Source organism: Homo sapiens, chromosome 3 (genome assembly GCF_000001405.40).
Source record: "Homo sapiens chromosome 3, GRCh38.p14 Primary Assembly".
NCBI classification, from domain to species: domain Eukaryota; kingdom Metazoa; phylum Chordata; class Mammalia; order Primates; family Hominidae; genus Homo; species Homo sapiens.
The window spans coordinates 180,951,882-180,972,281 of NC_000003.12; the positions used below are offsets into that span (position 1 = coordinate 180,951,882).

Here is a 20,400-nt window from a genome sequence, read left to right on the forward strand (position 1 = left end):
GGGTAGAAAATTAGTAAGTTATTTTTAAAATGTTATTCAGCCAGGTGCAGTGGCACACACCTGCAGTCCCAGCTACTTGGGAATCTGAGGCAGGAGGATTGCTTGAGCCTATGAGTTTGAATCTAGCCAGGGCAACATAGAGTTTAGAAAAGTATATATAAATTTTTATATATACATACACATGCATCTTATCTATATTTTTATATATGTAAATTGAGACCATCCTTCAAATTAGAGTAACTGGATTTTTATTTTTTAAAGAGACAAGATTTTGCCATGTTGCACAGGCTTGTCTCGAACTCCTGAGCTCAAGCAATCCACCTGCCTCAGCCTTCCAAAGTGCCGGGACTATAGGCGTGAGCCACCGTGCCTGGCCTGGAGTTTTTTTTGAATGACAATTTTGTGTCTTGACTTTTCATACATAGCTCTTATGAACAGCTGCTTTCACATAGTAAAGCTGACTAGAAGCTTCACTTTTAATTTCAAAACCTTTAAAAGTAGACAGTATAACATAGTAATTAAGAAGACAGACAGACACGGTGGCTCACGTCTGTAACCCCAGCAAGTTTGGATGCTGAAGCAGGAAGATCACTTGAGTCCAGGAATGAGAGGCTGCAGTGAGCTATGATCATGCCATTGTCCTCTAGCCTGAGCAACAGAGAGCAAGGTCCTGTCTTGTTGAGAAGGAGGAGGGAAAAAAAAAAAAGACGAGCTTTGGAGCTATACTGCCTGGATTGGAATTCACTTTAAGTAGGCTGCTTTGAGTAGGCTTGGAGTTTGTTACTTGTATAAGTGTTCTCATTATAAAATAATAATAGTGCTTACCTTAATACAGTTCTTAAGGATTAGATGCATTGTAAAAAATGTTGATTGCATATGGTATATCATGTAGTGTGCACACAATAATTTGAGCTATGGTTTTAAAATTTAAAAAAAATTTTATTTGCTTTTTTTTTTTTTTTTTTTTAAAGAGACAGGGTCTACTCTGTTGCTCAGGCTGGAGTGCAGTGGCGTGATCATAGCTCACTGCAGCCTCCAACCCCTGGGCTCAAGCCATCCTCTGGCCTCAGCCTCTTGAATAGCTAGGACTACAGGCATGTGCTGCCATGCTGGGCTAATTTAAATATATATCTGTATATTTTGTAGAGATGGAGGTTTCCTATGTTGCCCAGGCTGGTCTCAAACTCTTGGCCTTAAACGATCCTCCTATATTGGCCTCCCAAAGTGCAGGGATTACAGGCGTGAGCCCACTGCATCTGGCCTTATCTGTGGTTATTAAAGAACACACGTTAAAAGTGAAAGTGACTTTATTGAGAAGTAGAAAGTCTGTGTAGAGACTCACTCCCAACCCTCTAGTTGTTTAAAATTGTACTCATTAGAAATTATGAATTTTGATAATCTTACCAGTAGGTACTTTTAAAAAATGCATCTCTGCAAAAATAGCTTTTTAAGTCATATACCTGATTTTGAGAATAAATAAATCAGACAATTTTAACAATTTGTATTGTTAACATTTAACATGAGAATTTCAAGCAGGAGGTATAGACTAGTATATTTAGGATTGGGTTAAAGTTTTGGCTGTTCAGCAGCTGTGTAATTTAAACTCTGACACTAAATTTCTCAGCAGCTTAAAGATTTTAGAGATGTTATTTTATTTTTGGTTTTAATAGTACTGACTGATTTGGGGTTTTTAAAAATGATTTTTTTTTAAGTACTTTGTGAATCACTTCACCTGAAATCTCTCCCCAGTGGAATGAGCATAATCTTTTAGTAGAACATAATCATTCAGAATTTTCTCTTTTCTCATCTTCTTGTTTTGGATTATGGGTTGCTCCGAGATTGAAACAGGATTTCATTTTTACTTTTCCCCTCATCTACAGAGTGCTGATGCTGTAAAAAAGGCTAGAGGTTTCTTGGAATTTGTGGAGGATTTTATTCAGGTTCCTAGGAATCTCGTTGGTAGGTACTTTTACTAAATGTTAAATAAGTTAATAAACATTATTTAGTTACATATAGCGACTTAATTGAAAACTAGTCTTGTAGTCTGATAACCTTATTCCAGTTATGTGTAGATTTATTTAGATAGCAATACTTCTTTTCTTTTTTTGGTGATAACATTTTGTGTAACTTGTTATTGTCATATGTTAAAAAGTAAAGATGTTTCTTCTGTACAGGATGACTCACTAATAAGGCCCAGGGTTTTTATAAGTTTGTCATTACAGTTTTTCATCAGTCTTTTCATCCCTTGGGATCTTCCCTATTATTCTCACTCCTTTACTCTCTTTTTATCACTGATATATATTCATCAAAATTATGATAGTACTTTTTGAGAAGGTATTGGTGATATTTGTTTTGTTTAGTGCAGAAGAAAAATAACAGTGAACTAACAATAGGGTAATAAACTTCTACACAGTAGGTCCTGAATAGTAGGTTGTTGCAAGGCATAGAATAATAAGAAGTTGTGGGCAGGAGAGAAGGATGATAATATGAGGGGAGGTTTCACTGTTTATTATTTGACACCATTATTGAAACTGTTGTACCCATGGATTATAGTTAAGTGACAAGAATTTGCATTTGAAGCTATGGTTAAATGAGCATTATAGCTTGGAATGAGTTAATTTATAGCTCTGTTATTAATATGCACTACATCTGTGCTGTCTTTTTGCTATTTGAGGCAATTGGGAAGGCTTTGGTTATGTGTTAAGTATGCAGTGACTATACTAAAAATTGACTTACCTAAACATTTAATATAAAAAGAAGCATCAAGATAATGTAGTGTAGTTTTACTAGGAGGGGGACGAGTTTTTGTTCCCTGTTATCTCTCATTATTTTTTTTTGACGCTAGGGAAATACTTTCAGCTTCTTGGGTTCCATTTATATAATGCGGCCTGTTCTGCCTTTAGGAAATGATGTTTAGCTACGGACATTCTATTTGTTAAATTGTATAAAACAAACGTTAATAGAAAAATAAATACTTCCATTCTAAAAAGATTTTTTTTTTTTTTTTTTTTTTGGTCATTAGTAAGTAGTATATTCAGGAAAAGTAGTTTAAAACACAGGAATTTGTTTCTTGGAATTTAACTGTTAGTATTTATGTAAAAATAAATTTTTTTTTTTTTTTTTTGGAGATGGAGTCTTGCTTTGTCACTCAGGCTGGAGTGCAGTTGCAGCGATGCAATCTCGGCTCACTGCAACCTCTGCCTCCTGGGTTCAAGCGATTCTACTGCCTCAGCCTCCCAAGTAGCTGGGACTACAGGCGCCTGCCACCACGCCTGGCTAATTTTTGTATTTTTAGTAGAGATGTGGTTTCACCATATTGGCCAGGCTGGTCTTGAACTCCTGCTCCTGATCTTGTGATCCGCCCACCTCGGCCTCCCAAAGTGCTGGGATTACAGGCGTGATCCACCGCGCCCGGATGTAAAAAGCCTTTCAATTCTCCTCAAACATTTGGATAGGTATGACATTACTGCCAATTGTGTAAGCTCTACTTTATTAGTTCTTGGTATACCGTTGTTCACTGTAGACTGAACTGCTAGAAAGATGAGATGTTAAAATTCAATATAAACTTGAAGAATTTTGTATAATTATAATTATACAAAATATAGGTAGGGTGCACAATGTTATCAAATGTTTATCAGTATCAAATGAAATCACCTTTGATAAGCTGCTTTTGAAAATGCTGCCTTTTTAAAGAAATCGTTAATTATTGACATCTGTCAGTACTAACATTGTGGTAGCTGCTCTACAGATGTAATTTTGACTTAACTAAGGTTTCCTCACTTGTAAAAATGATTTGGCAGTGGGTTTGTGAAAGGGAACCAGGTTTCTTTTCAATCCAAGTCTGTCAATTATAAAAGATAGCCTTGGTCTTAGAGAGTTGTGGTAGGTGTTGTGAGTAAAAGTTTCTGATATTTCAAAAATAAGAAAATTGGGTATATTTGTAGTTCTTTGTTCTCTTTATTCACTGAAGTGAGTACCTGTTGTCTCTTTTCCTGTATCCTGTCTACGTTGGCTTTGGTGATGTGGGTTGTGTGCTCTATAGGAAATACACATTAGCAGTGACTATTACACACTGGTGAAATACTCAGGAGTAGTACAAGAATTTCTATTGGTTGTCATGTGTAAAAATACAGTGTTTCCCTCCATAATGTTTTATGGATGAAGCAGGCTTTTGAATAATAGTACATTCTTAGTCCAAATGAAAGAAAAAGAGAACTGAGGATTAAAAGGGAATGAGAACACTTGGGTAAGTTCCAGAGAGGATTTCCTTACACATTCGGGTTCTGAGAGTTCTAAGATGACCATTCCCACCCCTCCCAAATCAAAGGGAAAAATATCTGAACGTTGATTTGAAAATGGTTCAAAACCTTTCACCTCCAGAAGCCTTCCTTAATCACTTCTCTCTGTCCCTTCAGCATTTATATTCAGTGCTCAATTTATACTACAGGTCTACTTCAGTTTGTCAATATGGTCTGGAATTTAAACTATGGAAATGATCATTTAAAATATTGACGGTCTGTGGTGGGACTAAATAAAACTTGCAGGTAGGTTCCTGCCAAGGACCCCAGAAGGGTGATGGATGATCACTCAAAACTGGTATAGTTCACAAGAAGGAAGTGGCAAAGGTTCTGGGGGAGGAATATGGTATGTCAACCTAATCTTTGTTTTTCGAAAGACATTTGCTTACTTTTAGCAGGGTCAAGGATGGAGTTGCTGCTTGAGCTTCACTGTGTTAACAATGAAGGTTGCTTTTATGTGCTGCTGCTAGGGCTGCTCAGAGAAGATACACGTCATGTGAATTCCCTGCCCTACTTTTTTTTTTTTTAACATGTTCAATTGCTGCTGCTTTTAAATTTAGGCTTATTAATGGGGAAGGAGGCTTGAGAGTAGGAATACAAGAGAGAAAAACCCATTATAGTCCTTTTATTGTACTGACCAGTCTACTGTTGTCGTTCTTATTCATTCTTTAATAGAAACTGTTCAGGCATGCAACAGGAAAATCTTCCATTTTAACTCTTTCAACCAAGGTTTAAGTTTTTGTGAAAAGTGATATACTTAAATTAACTGAGGATGTGGACTTGATAACAAATATGCTGTCGCTGTTCACTGTCTAAGGGATACATCGGTTCCATATGGTGAAGGTTACTTAATAGTACTTGTTAATAGGTACACAACTCAGTGTTGCTTTGTTATTTATGTGAGTATGTGCTAATCTTTAGATAGTCCTTTAGGGAAAGAGAGCCTTTTGACCCCTTTATTTATTAATATACTCAATAACTGCTGTTTGACAGACTTACAAGTTAAGTGTAGAAAGTTAAATACTTGAATTTTATGTAATTTTACAATATTTTATACCTAGCAAGACAGCATATCATGTACATGCTTTATGTCATTTTTTATATAGCTGTGGAGTACTTGAAAAACTTCTTGGTGTAAAATATAATACATGTAAATATTCATTCTAAAGTTATCTTCAAGTCATAGAAATCTCTTGGACCCATAGAAACTTGAAAATAAAAGCAAGATTGATGAATTTGCTACTTATGTGAATTAATAAAGTGCTAATGATTAATGTCAAAATAGTTTTTCTCTTTGCCTTTATGTATACATCCAAGGTTTTGAAATGGGTTGGATATTTTAAAAATATGAAAATGATATAAGCATATTTTAAAAGTCTAGATTTTGAGAATTCCTTACATGTGAGCACTGTTGTCAGTCCCAGTTAGTAACCTTAGGCGTGCTGAAAGAGAAGTAAGTTTCAGACCAAGGGTGAAATTTCTTGGTAGTCTGTAGGGCGAGTTAATTGATAGTAAAAAGATGGGAGCTTCACTTGATGGTTGTAATTTAGTAGCAAGTTACAAATAATTGGGGCTGACACTGAAAGAATAGCAGAATTGAGTTTTAGCTTACCATTGTATTTGTTTTCTCTTACTAAAGGAAAAGTAATTGGAAAAAATGGCAAAGTTATTCAAGAAATAGTGGACAAATCTGGTGTGGTTCGAGTGAGAATTGAAGGGGACAATGAAAATAAATTACCCAGAGAAGACGTAAGTATTTAAAATGTAATCTGCCTCTTTAAAATGTCCTTTTTTTGGCCAACTTAATAGTTGTAAACATTTTGTCTGTTTTATCTGATACAGAGGGTTTTTCTTCTTTTTAAAATTATGTTTTTATAATATTATTTCATACACTTAGAAAACAAGTCATTTTCTACTATGTGGGCCTTGTTCTTAGTTGTTTTGATAGTACTTCAGTAAAAAAAGCCAGTTCTTGACATAAAGATTTCTATTTGATAATCTTAACAGTTATTTTTCATACGTAGAGTGTAAAGCTGTAGAACTTGATACTCCAAAAGGAATTTTTTTTTTCAATAGTTTTTGGGGTATAGGTGGTTTTTGGTTACATGGTTAAGCTGCTTCAGTGGTGATTTCTGAGATTTTAGTGCACCTGTCACCTGAGCACTGTACACTGTATCCAATATGTAGTCTTTTATCTCTCACCCCCCTCCCAACCTTCCTCCACACTGAGTCTCCAAAGTCCATTATAGCATTCTTTTGCCTTTGCGTCTTCATAGCTAAGCTCCCACTTACAAGTGAGAACATATGATATTTGGTTTTCCATTCCTGAATTACTTCATTTAGAATAATGGCCTCCATCCAAGTTGCTGCAAAAGACATTATTTTGTTCCTTTTTATGGCTGAGTAATATTCCATGGTATATATATACCACATTTTTTTTGTATCCACCCATTGGTTGATGGGCACTGAGGTTGGTTCCATATCTTTGCCATTGTGAACTGTGCTGACAAAGGAATTCTTGATTGTACTCTCCTTAACTATTTTATAGAATCTGAAAGTATTGACCATTTCTTAATTGAAATCCCCTTACACTTTTACATTGCTATAGAATCTGAAAGTATTGACTTTTTTTTTTTTTTTTTTCCTGGAGACAGAGTCTTACTCTGTCACCAGGGTGGAGTGCAGTGGCATGATCTCGGCTCACTGCAACCTCTGCCTCCCTCATTCAAGCGAGTCTCCTGCCTCAGCTTCCTGAGTAGCTGGGACTACAGGTGTGCGCCATCACGCCCAGCTAATTTTTGCATTTTTAGTAGAGATGGGGTTTCACCATGTTGGCCAGGATGGTCTCGATCTCTTGACCTTGTGATCCACCTGCCTCCACCTCCCAAAGTGCTGGGATTACGGGCGTGAGCCACCGTGCCCGGCCTTGACCATTTCTTAATTGAAATCCCCTTAACGCTTTTACGTTGCTATAGAATCTGAAAGTATTGACCATTTCTTAATTGAAATCCCATTACGTTGCTGTTAATTCGTTAATTCTGATCCTAGCTTTCTAAAATTTTTTGTCGTGTTTCTTCCCACATGTTGATGATGTTTTGTCTCCTTAAAATTCCTGTTTTTTGGTCATATCATTAATGCTGTACAATGAGTTTTTTATGAGAATGTTTAGTGTTTTTTTTTTTCCTGAGATTTTGATTATCCTTAGAACAGAAACTATTCTTATACATTAGCAGAAGATTCTGGCAGTTAACAAATAGATGTTATTTGGAATTAGGTAACTAGATGAAATTGGCTGGCTCGGTTGCTAATTTTATGACTTCAGCAAGTTACTTTGTTAACTGTAAAACTGGTAATACTATTTCTTAGTCAATTTTTAAATGAGTATTAAATCAAATACATGAAATGAATAATCCAGACCTGAAAACAGGCTATGTGCTTAAGATTTTTTTAGGTTCTTGCCCTCCCACCCCCCTTTTTATTCACTTTGAATGCCCTTTTATCTGCTTGTGAACTCCTGAGGACAGTGTTAAGACTTCTTCACTCCCTAATCTTAAATAAGGAGTTTCCCTTGTTTCATGCTTTCATAGTTGAAATGACTTCTTCAAAGCCACTGTGAACCTCTGTAATAGCTGTGCTATATCCCTAGCACTTGCCCTGTTGCCTAAGTTTTAAATGAACCATATCTAAAAATCATTACTCTTAAAAATTACTTTGAAAATAATTGAGTCATATATAGAACTAAAATGTCTTAAACCACGCTTAGTTTCATATTTAGAACAAAAAAATCCCTAAACCATTCTGTTTAACTGTTAGAAACCATTCTGTAAAATGAAGAAAATGGGAGACATGGAAACTGATTGGGGGAGTTAAGCTTTACTCTCATTTTTCTCAGCCATTAAGAAGCTGGAAGTATGTTTCTTTAAAGAAGAAAAATTCACAGTGTGCCATCTTATTTCTCTTTTCTGCCACTTTTTAAAAATCTTCTTATTCAGAAGTTCAGCAAAGTAAACCAAGTCTGGCCTAATACTTTGATTTACTTGAATACCTCTACGTATCTTAATAATTCCTTTAATTTTACATTGTGTAAATATTTATGCTCTGGAGGTGATATTTCTTTTAGTGGTCAGGAAGTACCTCTTGTAGTACACAGACACTCAAGATTTTGTTACCTGAGCACATACTGTAGGGATAACTGGGTTAATGTGCTTTATTATGCTTTAAAGCTATACCTACTAAGGTGATGTATCTATCTAGTCTGTAAGTTTATAGACAGTTTGAAGGAAAATCGTTGTTTTTTGTTTCTGGAGACAGATTCTTGCTCTCTTGTCCAGGCTGGAGGGCAGTGGCACAGTCTTGGCTCACTGCAATCTCTGCCTCCCAGGCTCAAGCTATCTTCCTACCTCAGCCTCCCAAGTAGCTGGGACTACAGGCATGTGCTACCCTGCCAGCTAATTTTTGTATATTTTGTAGAGATGGGCTTTCTCCATGCTGCCCAGGCTGGTCTCGAACTCATGAACTCAAGTGATCCACCTGCCTCAGCCTCCCAAAGTGCTAGGATTACAGGTGTGAGTCACCATGACCTGCCAGAAAATCATTTTAACTTTAAAAGTTGATTTATATACTTGGAAAATTAAATTAATTATAAATCAGAAAACTTGATATAAACTGATTTTTTAAAATTATTTTTAAAGTGTTTAGCACACAGAAGACAATTTACAACAGTAAATTGGGGTGCAAATATGACAAGTTATTGAAAATCTGAGTATTTCAACTTACATGGATTTTAGCATTTTTTTCTCCTTAAATCTTGAAGTTTAGTACATGTAAATTGCTGCGTGTTTCAGAAGAGTTTTCCTAATTATATATTGGGGCTGGGTACAGTGGCTCACGCCTGTAACCTCTTTACGAAGTCAATAATCCCAGCGCTTTGGGAAGCCAAGGCAGGAGGATTGCTTGAGGCAAGGAGTTGGGCAACAGAGCAAGACCCTGTCTCTACAAAAAATAAAAAGTAATAGCTGGTTGTGGTGACACGCATCTATAGTCCCAGCTACTCTGGAGGCTGAGACAGGAGAATCACTTGAGCCCAGGAGTTTGATGCTGCAGTGAGCTGTGATTGTAACACTGCACTGTAGCCTGGGCAACAGAGCAAGACGTCATCTCAAAAAAAAAAAAAAAAAAAAAAAAAAAAGGTGTGTGTGTGTGTGCCTGCCTGTCAGTTTCATGTCACTTTTAGGCTAGAACTTTGTTAAAATATTAAACACTGAATACTTTTTTTTTTTTTTAAACAGGGTATGGTTCCATTTGTATTTGTTGGCACTAAAGAAAGCATTGGAAATGTGCAGGTTCTTCTAGAGTATCATATTGCCTATCTAAAGGTTTGTATACGGTTCATACTATATTCTGATATTGTTGCTGCATTTACTACATAAATGTTGTACATTTGCTACAAATTTAAAATGTCCTCACATTAAACATTTTATATTTGAAGTAAACTTCAAATCTTTAAATATTTTTTGTTAATTCAGCTTCAGATTTGCCATTGTTCTACATGAGAATTTAAAAAGTCCTTTGTCATCATAAAATGATTGGCCTTGTGTGCATAATTTCTCTTCTTTCTGAGCTTTTATATTTCTTTCTTTCTTAAGAAATGATTCCTTTGTCTTCATGCAATTTGACTCTCAGATCACTTATGTATCTGCATGTTCATACTGGAGCCATTTTGTTTTTACTTTTGTACTTTACATACAAATAGGGTACAGAACCAGGAGTGACATTGGGCTTCCTTGGTAACTTTGGCATTATGCAAATCATCTGCATCATCTCCACTGACATTACTCGATAATTTGTAACCATTGTTAACAAAATAGTCTATTTGAGTTGATACATAAAGAGCAAGGGTTTTTAGAAAAATATGACCCATAAATTATTAAACATTTTAATTTTATTTTCTACTCTTTCCCTTTTATTCCTGCTGTGTTTCTTTTTAAAGTATAATAATATCCTCACCTGTTCTCTGCCTCTAGTATGTTTTCCTCCCAGTCTGTCGTATCATTGTTGCTGTTACTATTTTGAGATCACTCTGATAATGTCATTTCTTTTCTTTTGAAATTCATCTTTATATGAAAAGTCGCAATTAAAGCTGGCATTTTGAAGCCAGTGCTTTATCTTTCAGTACTCATCTTTTAACCAAGAGCTTTCTCTAGACATCTAACCTTTGCATCCTGTAATGACCTCAATTTCTGAATGACAAAGTCTAGCACTCCTTCTAGGTCACAACTCGTGTCACTGCTTTGATAGGAAAGTAGCTTGTTAATAGTACCTTTCATAGATGCTACCTGTATCTCATTCAGCAATTCTAACTCCTTGAGGGCAAAATCTGGTAATATTGTATAATTGTTAGCTATTTAATAAATAACTTATTTTAAAGCTGTCTGTTAAACATCCCCTTGATTGGGGAGAGTCCATGTCTTCTTTTATATTGTATGCCTATAGTAGCATGTTTGGCACACTCTAGACCATTCAGTAAATGTTGAACAGAAACAGCAAATGACCTCATCAATTCTGTTGACTAGGAACACAATGCTCTTTACCATCTAATTGCCTAAGGTCACAGCTTTGATAGGGAGTACAGCTTTAGCTTTAGGCTTTAGGAAAACAAAAAGTTATATATAAGAAGACTTACTCTTTTTTGTTTTGATTGTAGGAAGTAGAACAGCTAAGAATGGAACGCCTACAGATTGATGAACAGCTGCGACAGATTGGTATGGGTTTCAGACCTTCTTCCACCAGAGGGCCTGAAAAAGAGAAAGGATATGCCACTGATGAAAGTACCGTCTCTTCTGTACAAGGTTCTAGGTCTTATAGCGGAAGAGGCAGAGGTCGTCGGGGACCTAATTACACCTCCGGTTATGGTAAAAAAAAATTTTTTTTTTTTTTTTTTGGTAATAGTAATAATAGTAGTTATAGTTTAGGTGCTCTAACACATTTTCTTATAATTAGTTCATTACTCTGTCTTGGCTTTGAGGGTAGAAGGTAGTTCTGAAGGTTTAGTACACGTCTTAATAGTAGTGATAGTATACATTAAAATGACAGTAAAATATATAAAATTTCCAAGCAGTTATGTAATGAAGCAAAGCATGTTTTTAAGTTGGTAGTTCATTGTCATGTTTATTATATTTACAAAGAATACATATGTAACTTGTTTTTCAAATACTTTACTAGTACAGTTTTATACATTTCCCAGTAAATACCTAGTAATGGTGGTGGTGATACTTCTAGGAATCATCTTTTGTCTACCCTCTTTAAGTAAAAAATGAAAAGTGTGCGAATCACTGCCAAGATTGCATATAGCAAGTCTTTTTACTAGCTTTTAAAAAATATTTTACTTACTCATTTGGCGTATTTGAATATATTAACATCTCACATCTGGAATTATTTTATTTAACAACATTTCACTAAAATGAAGACTCTGAAAGCCAGAATCTAATTTAACACTTTATAAATGAACATTTTCTAAAATGTATTTCACTGTGAGGATTGGGTCTAACCCAGATAGGAAGGGGGACAGTGGAGTGGTGATAGTCAACAATTCTCTAATCCTAAATTCTCCCTTATTCTTCTTCAGCTTTGGAGTTGTTCCATTTTTCTACATTTGGACTTGGATCTTAGCAGTGACCTGATTTGTTTTTTTCCTTCGCCCCTTCTCTTTATTTTCTCTTTTCCTTTTCTTTTCTTCACTCCTATACTTACTCCCTTTTGAGGAAATATAAAACCTTTTCCAAAATGTAAGGCATTTAAGGAAAATAGAAATAAATGCAAATTTCATGCTTTAATTGAAGGATCATCTAATGCTGACAAAGTTATATTAAACCTGAACTATCTTCAATTTGTTGTAGAGTTGTAAGTTTGTGTCCCTGCCCTTTAATATCATATCTTTATGTTCTCATTTTCTTATATATGTTTTTATTTAATGCAGTATTGAAACCTAAACAGCAAAATTCTAATAAAGAAGTGTTCAGCATATAAAGGGATGAAAATTGCAGACTATTATTATATTTCTGAAAATGTTTAATGCAAAAGACAGTTAACCAGTAATCACATAGAAATCAAATATATTCTCATTGATTTTTGAACCATACATTATTAGCATAGATAATCAGACTTGGCTTATTGGATGATGCGTATGATGAATTCATTGAATAATTTTATTAGCTTTTGTGGGAAGTCGGCTTATTGATGAGAGCTTACTCTGGCAAAATGCTTTTGTTGAGAGTAGATAATTATGTGAGAGGTAGAGAAACATCTGGATTCAAGAAAGCTGTGCAAATTGTTCAGTAGATGGCACTCTTAGCTCTGAATCTTAGTGGAATTGATAACATTTTATTTCTTGAAATAGTTACTGAACCTGAGTGGGCTTGGAAAAGCAAGAAAAACCATTTGAATTTGGTTGTAGACGTTCATGTATACATTATATCAGAGGGACTTGTAGTTGATTTATATATATATATATATATATATATATAATGAGTACTGTAGTTTTATCAGTTTAATAGGAACTATAAGAAACATTTCCCAGTATAACATCTCTGAAGTTGGTATGTGTGTTAAATTGGACATCTTACAACTTTAGCAGCATTTTCTTTTTTAATGGCACATAAAATAATGTCTTAAAATTGATGGCCTCTTGGAGTCGATAAAACGTGATTATTTTTAGCTGTTAAGCTTAGCACAACCAACCATTGAAAAATGATATAAACCATCTTCATAAGGTGATTTTAGAAGTTTGAGGGGAAAATATGATTTTAAAATTGGTTAAAAACACGATGTCATTATGTTTTGTTACTTTTTTTTTTTTGAGACGGAGTTTCGCTCTTGTTGCCCAGGCTGGAGTGCAGTGGCACAATCTCGGCTCACCGCAACCTCTCCCTCCTGGGTTCAAGTGATTCTCCTGCCTCAGCTTCCTGAGTAGCTGGGATTACAGGCATGCACCACCATGCCTGACTAATTTTGTATTTTTAGTAGAGACAGGGTTTCTCCATGTTGGTCAGGCTCGTCTCAAACTCCAGACCTCAGGTGATCTGTCTACCTCGCCTCCCAAAGTGCTGGGATTACAGGCGTGAGCCACCAGCCTGGCCTAGTGTCATTACTTTTAAAGCTTGTTTAAAAAAACGACTTTGAATCACCAACCTGTGTTTTACAAAATTGAGAGGCTGGAATAAATGGTTTCCCTGATTTTATTAGAGTATTTGTTTTCTATTGCAGTAATAAATTATCACAAACTTAGAGGCTTGACCACAGAAATTTATTATCTTATAGTTCTGTTGGTCAGAAGGCTGACATGGGTCTCACTAGGCTAAAATCTTGTCAGCTGGGCTACGTTTCTTTCTGGAAAGTCTAGCGGGGATTCCCCTTTCAGTAGTTTAGAAAATTTCTCTACTTTTAAAGACCCAGTGAGATTAGTTTGGACCCACCTGGATAATCCAGGATAATCTCTCTATCTCAAGGTCCTTAACCTTAGTCACATTTGCAGAGTCCTTTTTGCTATCACAGAAACATTTAATATGTGTTATTAACAGTTATTTAATATGAGTAATGTTGAGCACTAGCCAATACATTAAAATTTTGGGGGGTACGGCCTCAATATCTGTTTTACCTGCTGAAATCTATGATTTAGACATTCCCTCTAAGTCTCTTGAATACTATATGTAGGTTAAATTTAAGGAAGACTTTACTTGCTGTGACACGGGGTTAGATAAATACTACACTGGATTTCTAAGGATACTTCAATATGAACTTTTGAGAGAGTCTTCAGAATGAAGTATTCTTCATTTGCCCTGAATTTTGGTAATGTTTTCAGGTAGGGTATAGGTTTGTAAATAAATTCAGAAGTTCTTAAACATTCTGAAAGGCTTTTTTTTTCACTATTCAAGGAAAGATAAATTGCCTTCATTACAACTTTTATGACATCCTGTTAATAAAGTACTTTTTGTCATTTGGTGAAATAAATGTTAGGGGAAATTAATTCCCTTCCCTGAGATTCTAATCCCAACAAAGAATTGAAAGTGAGTAATAGAAATTTGATGTATTCTTTGAAAAATACACATCCAACTAATTACCTAATTGTTTTTATAATTGACTAGTTACATCTATTAACACCATGTAGAGAAAAGGTAGGCATCCTAGAGTTATCGTTAAAGGAGAAAGGAAGTGAGGCACCTTCATGTATAAAACTTTACATTTTATTCCCTGCACCTTAATACTTAAAACTTCTTATGTCTGAAGAGCTCTTGTTTGCATTTTTCCTCAAATGATTGCAGAGTTTAAATATAGGGAACTTCAAGGTATTTCATGAAATCACTCTTATCTGAGAGTTTAGCAAATGAACTTCAAAATAATGCAGCAAATTATTTGGTTGAGAAAATTGTTATACACTCTGCCAGGCATTTGAGGACATATAAGATGGAGTTCCACCCTTTATCATAGACCAATTTTGAAGTAATTCCACAGGGGGAAAAAATAACAACATGGCACAGTCTGTGATAGATGTGGGGCGATTTTAGGATAACAAAAAATGGGGAGAGATCTGTCTTAGTTGCAGTGGTCTGAAGTTAGAATTTGAACTAGGCCCTGAAGGAGATATATTTGGTCATATAAGAGGGAAAGAAGAAGTGGCATCCCAGAACTAACAAGTGGAAATGAATATGATAGTGATTGAGTCATATGTATCTGACATTTGAGTTACAGTAATTATTAAATAATGATAATGTAGGCCTCTGATTATATCTTTGTGGTGTTTAAATAAATTTTTGAAAGGTCACCATTACAATAGTTGCAGTGTTAGAAATGGTCTGTAAACTTTTAAAGGCAATGCTGAATATTTGTCTCACTGGTCATGGCTTCAGTTCTGTTGTCAGGTGAGAGACCTTCTGTTTCAGAGAAACCTTAAATTCTGTTTAGTAATTGCAAATATTAGGTTGGTGCAAAAGTAATTGCAGTTTTTGCCATTAAAAGTAAGAAAAGCAAAAAGTAAAAGTAGTTACTTTTAATGGCAAAAACCGCAATTTAAGATGCTAGTAAAACATGCCATCATTTTATATACAACCTACTGGAAAAATTACTTCTAGCTTATAATAAAGATGCCATCAATTATAAGAAATATCTTGATTTCAGAGATGTTAACATGTGAAAAGTATACCCTAGAATCAATGAAATTATGGTGAAATACACTATACAGTTAAACTATTCAGTTTTCTAAATATGATTAATTTACTCAAATATTGAAGTTATTTTTATTGTACTAATAATTTAGGTTACTAAAACCCAAATCAGCAGAAACATTTGACTATCCATACTAAGTACATTCTAATATTGATAAATGATGTTCTGTATGGTTTTTTTTTTTTGGTGCCAAAACCTAGGAATTAATGTTCTGTATATTTTCTGTAATTTTTCTGTTGACTGCATTTCTGCACATCAGTTTTTTTTTTAACTTCCATGACTTTGTATTTCCTGGATATTATCCCCTTTTGCTGATGAGATGGTCACACCTTTGACTATATTACATGACATAGCACATCTTAGCAGACTGCAGTGAGGGATTCTTCTGCTGGTTTTGAAGAAGTGAGCGGCCTTCTGCACATCAGTTTATTTTTTAATCTGTATTAACTAGTAGATACTATACTAGTATATTAATAGTATAATAATTGATTATTCCTTAGTACGTTTCAGATTGATTTTAACTTTCATGGATCTTTCTTTGAAGCAGCCAAACAGTATTGCTTATTTAAACAATAATTTGTAGGACATAATTTTGAACATTTTAAAAGGCTTTTTATAGAAATCTAAGTGGTTTATGTTCTTTTCTTTTCCAAGGTACAAATTCTGAGCTGTCTAACCCCTCTGAAACGGAATCTGAGCGTAAAGACGAGCTGAGTGATTGGTCATTGGCAGGAGAAGATGATCGAGACAGCCGACATCAGCGTGACAGCAGGAGACGCCCAGGAGGAAGAGGCAGAAGTGTTTCAGGGGGTCGAGGTCGTGGTGGACCACGTGGTGGCAAATCCTCCATCAGTTCTGGTAGTCTTTTCTATACTCTGTCAGCATCCATTATTTGTAAACAGTTTAATTTTACAAAAGTTAATTCATCTCCCAGGGCCACCCATTTTTGGAAGTTTCTCTTGCTACTCATTGTCTTAGAGAAAGTAGTGGACCATATAGCAGTATCAGGAAAAGCCCTCGTAGAGTGTTTCTCAGTGAAGGTTTACTTAGAATATACTGGTCAGAACTTTAGTTGGCAGCTTTTCTTTATATGATGAGGGTCAGATGTTTCTCTCTTCAGGTTTTGGAGGCTTATTTAATTAGAATTTTTTTTGTTTTCCCTAGAATTTTGGGGTTATGTTTTTTTGTTTGCCAGACAGACCCAGAGATTTCTAATGCACAGAGAGATGTCAGTACTTTTCTATACTTAATATTGAAAACGAAGTGAAGAGCATTCTTAGCTACACTATGTAGTACTTTGGGAACAGGGAAAAATTGTGGAATTAACTAAGTTTTTTAATTGTTGGAGGAACTGTGCTGTAAAGAGGAGTGTTTGGATGACTAAAGATTTGAGGGTGTAGGAAACGTTTTACTTAATTACTTCTGTCTTCTAAAATTTTTTTATGCTTTACATTAAGTTGTAGGAGTTTCCAGAATATCCTTGGTTACCATAACGGGCTAGGGAGTTAATTGCCAGGGATAGATACATAGACTATATTAAGGATATAACTTTAACATATCATTATGGTATACCACGTTAAGAAACCCGCACCTTCCTTAATGTTATACCCATGAAAACTTATGTAGTATTTTAATATTATAGAAAGTGTGTGTAGATACATTAAATATAGATGCCAACTGTGCTTACAAATTACAAAAACTGGAACAAATCAGGGCAAAAATTAGGAACTTGTTCTTTGTTTGTTTAGATTTTCTCCCTTTCCACAGTAATACTCTTTGAGCCTTAAGTTTAGTTTACAGGCTTTCAGGGTAATAGTTTTTATATTTTAGTACACTTTGTACAGTTACCAAGGTGTTTAAAATTACAGTATACTGAATTGCAAAATAAATGTACTTGACCTAGTGTTTTATGATTAATGGATACGCTTAGTGTCTTTTGCAAAGATGCTTAGCTTGCTAGCTGTTACCAAAGGAATCTTAGGAAAAATCGGAATTAGGTGAATTTCTTCTATAAATTTGATTGTTGGAGGTAATAAATGCACATAGGTAAGATGGGTATTTTTCTTATGAATTGTACCTTACAGTTTTTCCTTTTCCACCTTCACATCACCTTCCATAATGTTTCTAAAGATGGAGTACTAGTCAGCATTCGTTTCAACATTTTCCTTTCATAACCAGTTAGAAGTTCAACCTTATTTAATTGGCTGCTTTGTTTCAACTTGTCTTGATTGCTTCAGTTCAGTTACGGATTTCTATTATGTCATGGAATGCAGGTATTGAATATTATTTGGGAAACAGTCCATCAACATCAACACAACAAAGCTGCAGTCATTTTGAACTCAGTTAAGGGGATGAAAGCTCGCTCTTATAATTATTTCTTAACAGCTGAATATTTGTTTCTTTTCATTTTTGTTTTTCTAGTCTCTGGGCAGGATTACCTTGAAATGTGAATGCAAGAATTAGCATTTAATACACTATTTTCTAATGTATATTTTAAAAACAAGGCACAGGAAATGTTAGGAAGCCAAGATGTCTGCTTACTTTCTGCTTTAATTTTTCATCACCACTTAAAGTTTTATCATATTTAATTATCTTTGTTATTTTCCAGGTAAATAATATTGAAAACATTTTATTTGAAGACAGTGCATTTTTATTGGGGGAGACTGAAGTTTATTTGTCATTGATATAGTTCAATATAGATCAAACATTCATAATTGCAGTACTCTTAAACGAATATTTCTTGCCTCTGACATGAATATAGTGCTCAAAGATCCAGACAGCAATCCATACAGCTTACTTGATAATACAGAATCAGATCAGACTGCAGACACTGATGCCAGCGAATCTCATCACAGTACTAACCGTCGTAGGCGGTCTCGTAGACGAAGGACTGATGAAGATGCTGTTCTGATGGATGGAATGACTGAATCTGATACAGCTTCAGTTAATGAAAATGGGCTAGGTATGTAAGCACTTAGGGAAGAGAAATATATATATATATATATATATATATATATATATATATAATTGTAAACTATTGTTAGTATATGAAGCTTTTTTCAAAGAAATATGCAATTCACAAATTGACTTTTTCTTAGTGTTTACTTTGAACAAGGTAGATAGCTTTTTGTCTATCTTAAATGTTTAGTTCTCAGATTTGTTATAGCCAAATTATTTGAAACTTGGAGGGTTAAAGTGCCCTTTGATGCCATTAAATCAGTACAAATATTCAGCTGGCAAGGTACTTAGTGCTTTTATTGTCCCCAAGCTAAAATCAGGCTTTCATCTTGCCTCTTTTAAAATAATTATAAATGACACTGGTAAAGGTACATATATCAAGAGTAGGCATTAATTTTCAAGGGCTAAAATGTCATTAACTTCGGTATAAACCAAACTGTACTAGAGAGGAAGACTGTGTCCCTGAATGATGGCAGTTTAAGTCTGAGTTTTACTGTGAGTTAAAACCCTCTGAATTTCCAGATGATAATTCCATTTTTAATCCATTTGGAATGCTGAAAGCTACAAAAATGTATTTCCTGTCAGTAAACATTTGTTGTTTTATTTTTGTGTTTAATTAAAAGTTTATTTTTCCCCTTTAAATCTTTGAAGGAAAGAAGGTTTTTTTGTTTTTTTGTTTGTTTTTGTCAGAATAGTTCATGGTAAACTTTGCAATTACAGATGATAGTGAAAAAAAACCCCAGCGACGCAATCGTAGCCGCAGGCGTCGCTTCAGGGGTCAGGCAGAAGATAGACAGCCAGGTAACTTGAGTGGACCTGTGGACACCATCAGGTCACAAGCATGAAAAAAATGTCTATGTCTGCTTTCTAAATATATTATACTTACATGTACACATGTGTGCATATACATTCAAAATTTGCATTGCATAAATTGTTTATTCAACTAATAAGACTACTACTATTAAGAAAATGCATTCTTCCTTCACAGTGTGTTAGTAACTTGTCTAATTGAACTAATGTTGTGTCCTAATTGTTTACATGGAAATACTGTTGAGAAGACCATTTTGTTCACTTGGCAGTTTCTTCACACTTGAGATGGGGCCTGCCATCCGAGGGACTGTGTTGTAGATTGTGATCAAGGTTGATTGGCAAAACTGGGCAGCTTTTGCATGGTGCCTGCTTACTATATCTGAATTCAGCACCTCATTTTTGTGGGAGTTGTAATACCCACAATTAAAAAAAAAGTATAAAAGAGAAAAATATTTGAAGGTGTCTTTAACCTAATGCGAGGAATGCATGTTGTTTTTGTTTGTTTATTGTAGTGTGATGCCTTTTCCCTTACACCTACTAACTATTCAAATTAATAATACTTACTTAGTTTTAGAATGTTTATTTTATGTAGTCATTAATTTTTAGTAACTTCAAAGAAACTTGTTTGCTGTGTCTATTATTTTGAACATAATTCCATTTCCTGTGTACAGAGAATCACATGTATATTCACAATGAAGCAATTGTGTGCACCAGAAATAAACCCCTTTCAAACTAATCAATTTTTGCATTCTTTCCAAAACCAGTTCTTTCATGTGTTTTCCCCAAATAAAGAATGTAAATTCTGGCATCTTTACTATTTTAAATTTAGTGGTTGTAGAGACATTTGGGAAAACTGGTTAAGAGAATTAGTTCCCATCCCTAAAAGTTCATGTTTTAAAGATAGTTGGAAATTTTTAGAGCAATTAAATATTGTCAAAAAATAGAAAGTGTCCAGAAAATATTTGTTTTCCTTCCCCTTCTTTCCTCCCCTCCTTTAATGTTGGAAATATATTTTAGGGCTGGGTGCAGTGGCTCATACCTGTAATCCCAGCACTTTGGGAGGCCAGGTAGCAGGATTGCTTGAGCCCAGGAGTTTGAGACCAGCTTGGGCAGTGGG

General features: G+C 34.8%; 1 protein-coding gene across 10 annotated transcripts in view; it reads left to right on the forward strand.

Annotated features, from left to right (window-relative positions):
* Positions 1–20,400, forward strand: part of FXR1 (FMR1 autosomal homolog 1) — a 70,084-nt gene that overhangs the window by 39,212 nt on the left and 10,472 nt on the right. For 5 of the 10 annotated variants that reach the window (NM_001013439.3, NM_005087.4, NM_001013438.3 and 2 more), the window contains 7 exons: positions 1,881–1,959; positions 5,938–6,047; positions 9,587–9,673; positions 11,002–11,059; positions 11,147–11,209; positions 16,170–16,373; positions 18,277–18,477. In NM_001013439.3, coding sequence (NP_001013457.1) covers positions 1,881–1,959; positions 5,938–6,047; positions 9,587–9,673; positions 11,002–11,059; positions 11,147–11,209; positions 16,170–16,373; positions 18,277–18,477 — 802 coding nt within the window. Of the gene's footprint in view, positions 1–1,880; positions 1,960–5,937; positions 6,048–9,586; positions 9,674–11,001; positions 11,210–16,169; positions 16,374–18,276; positions 18,478–19,193; positions 19,275–20,400 lie in introns of all 10 variants that reach the window. The other 5 variants (NM_001441509.1, NM_001441513.1, NM_001441510.1 and 2 more) reach the window with 3 other exon arrangements.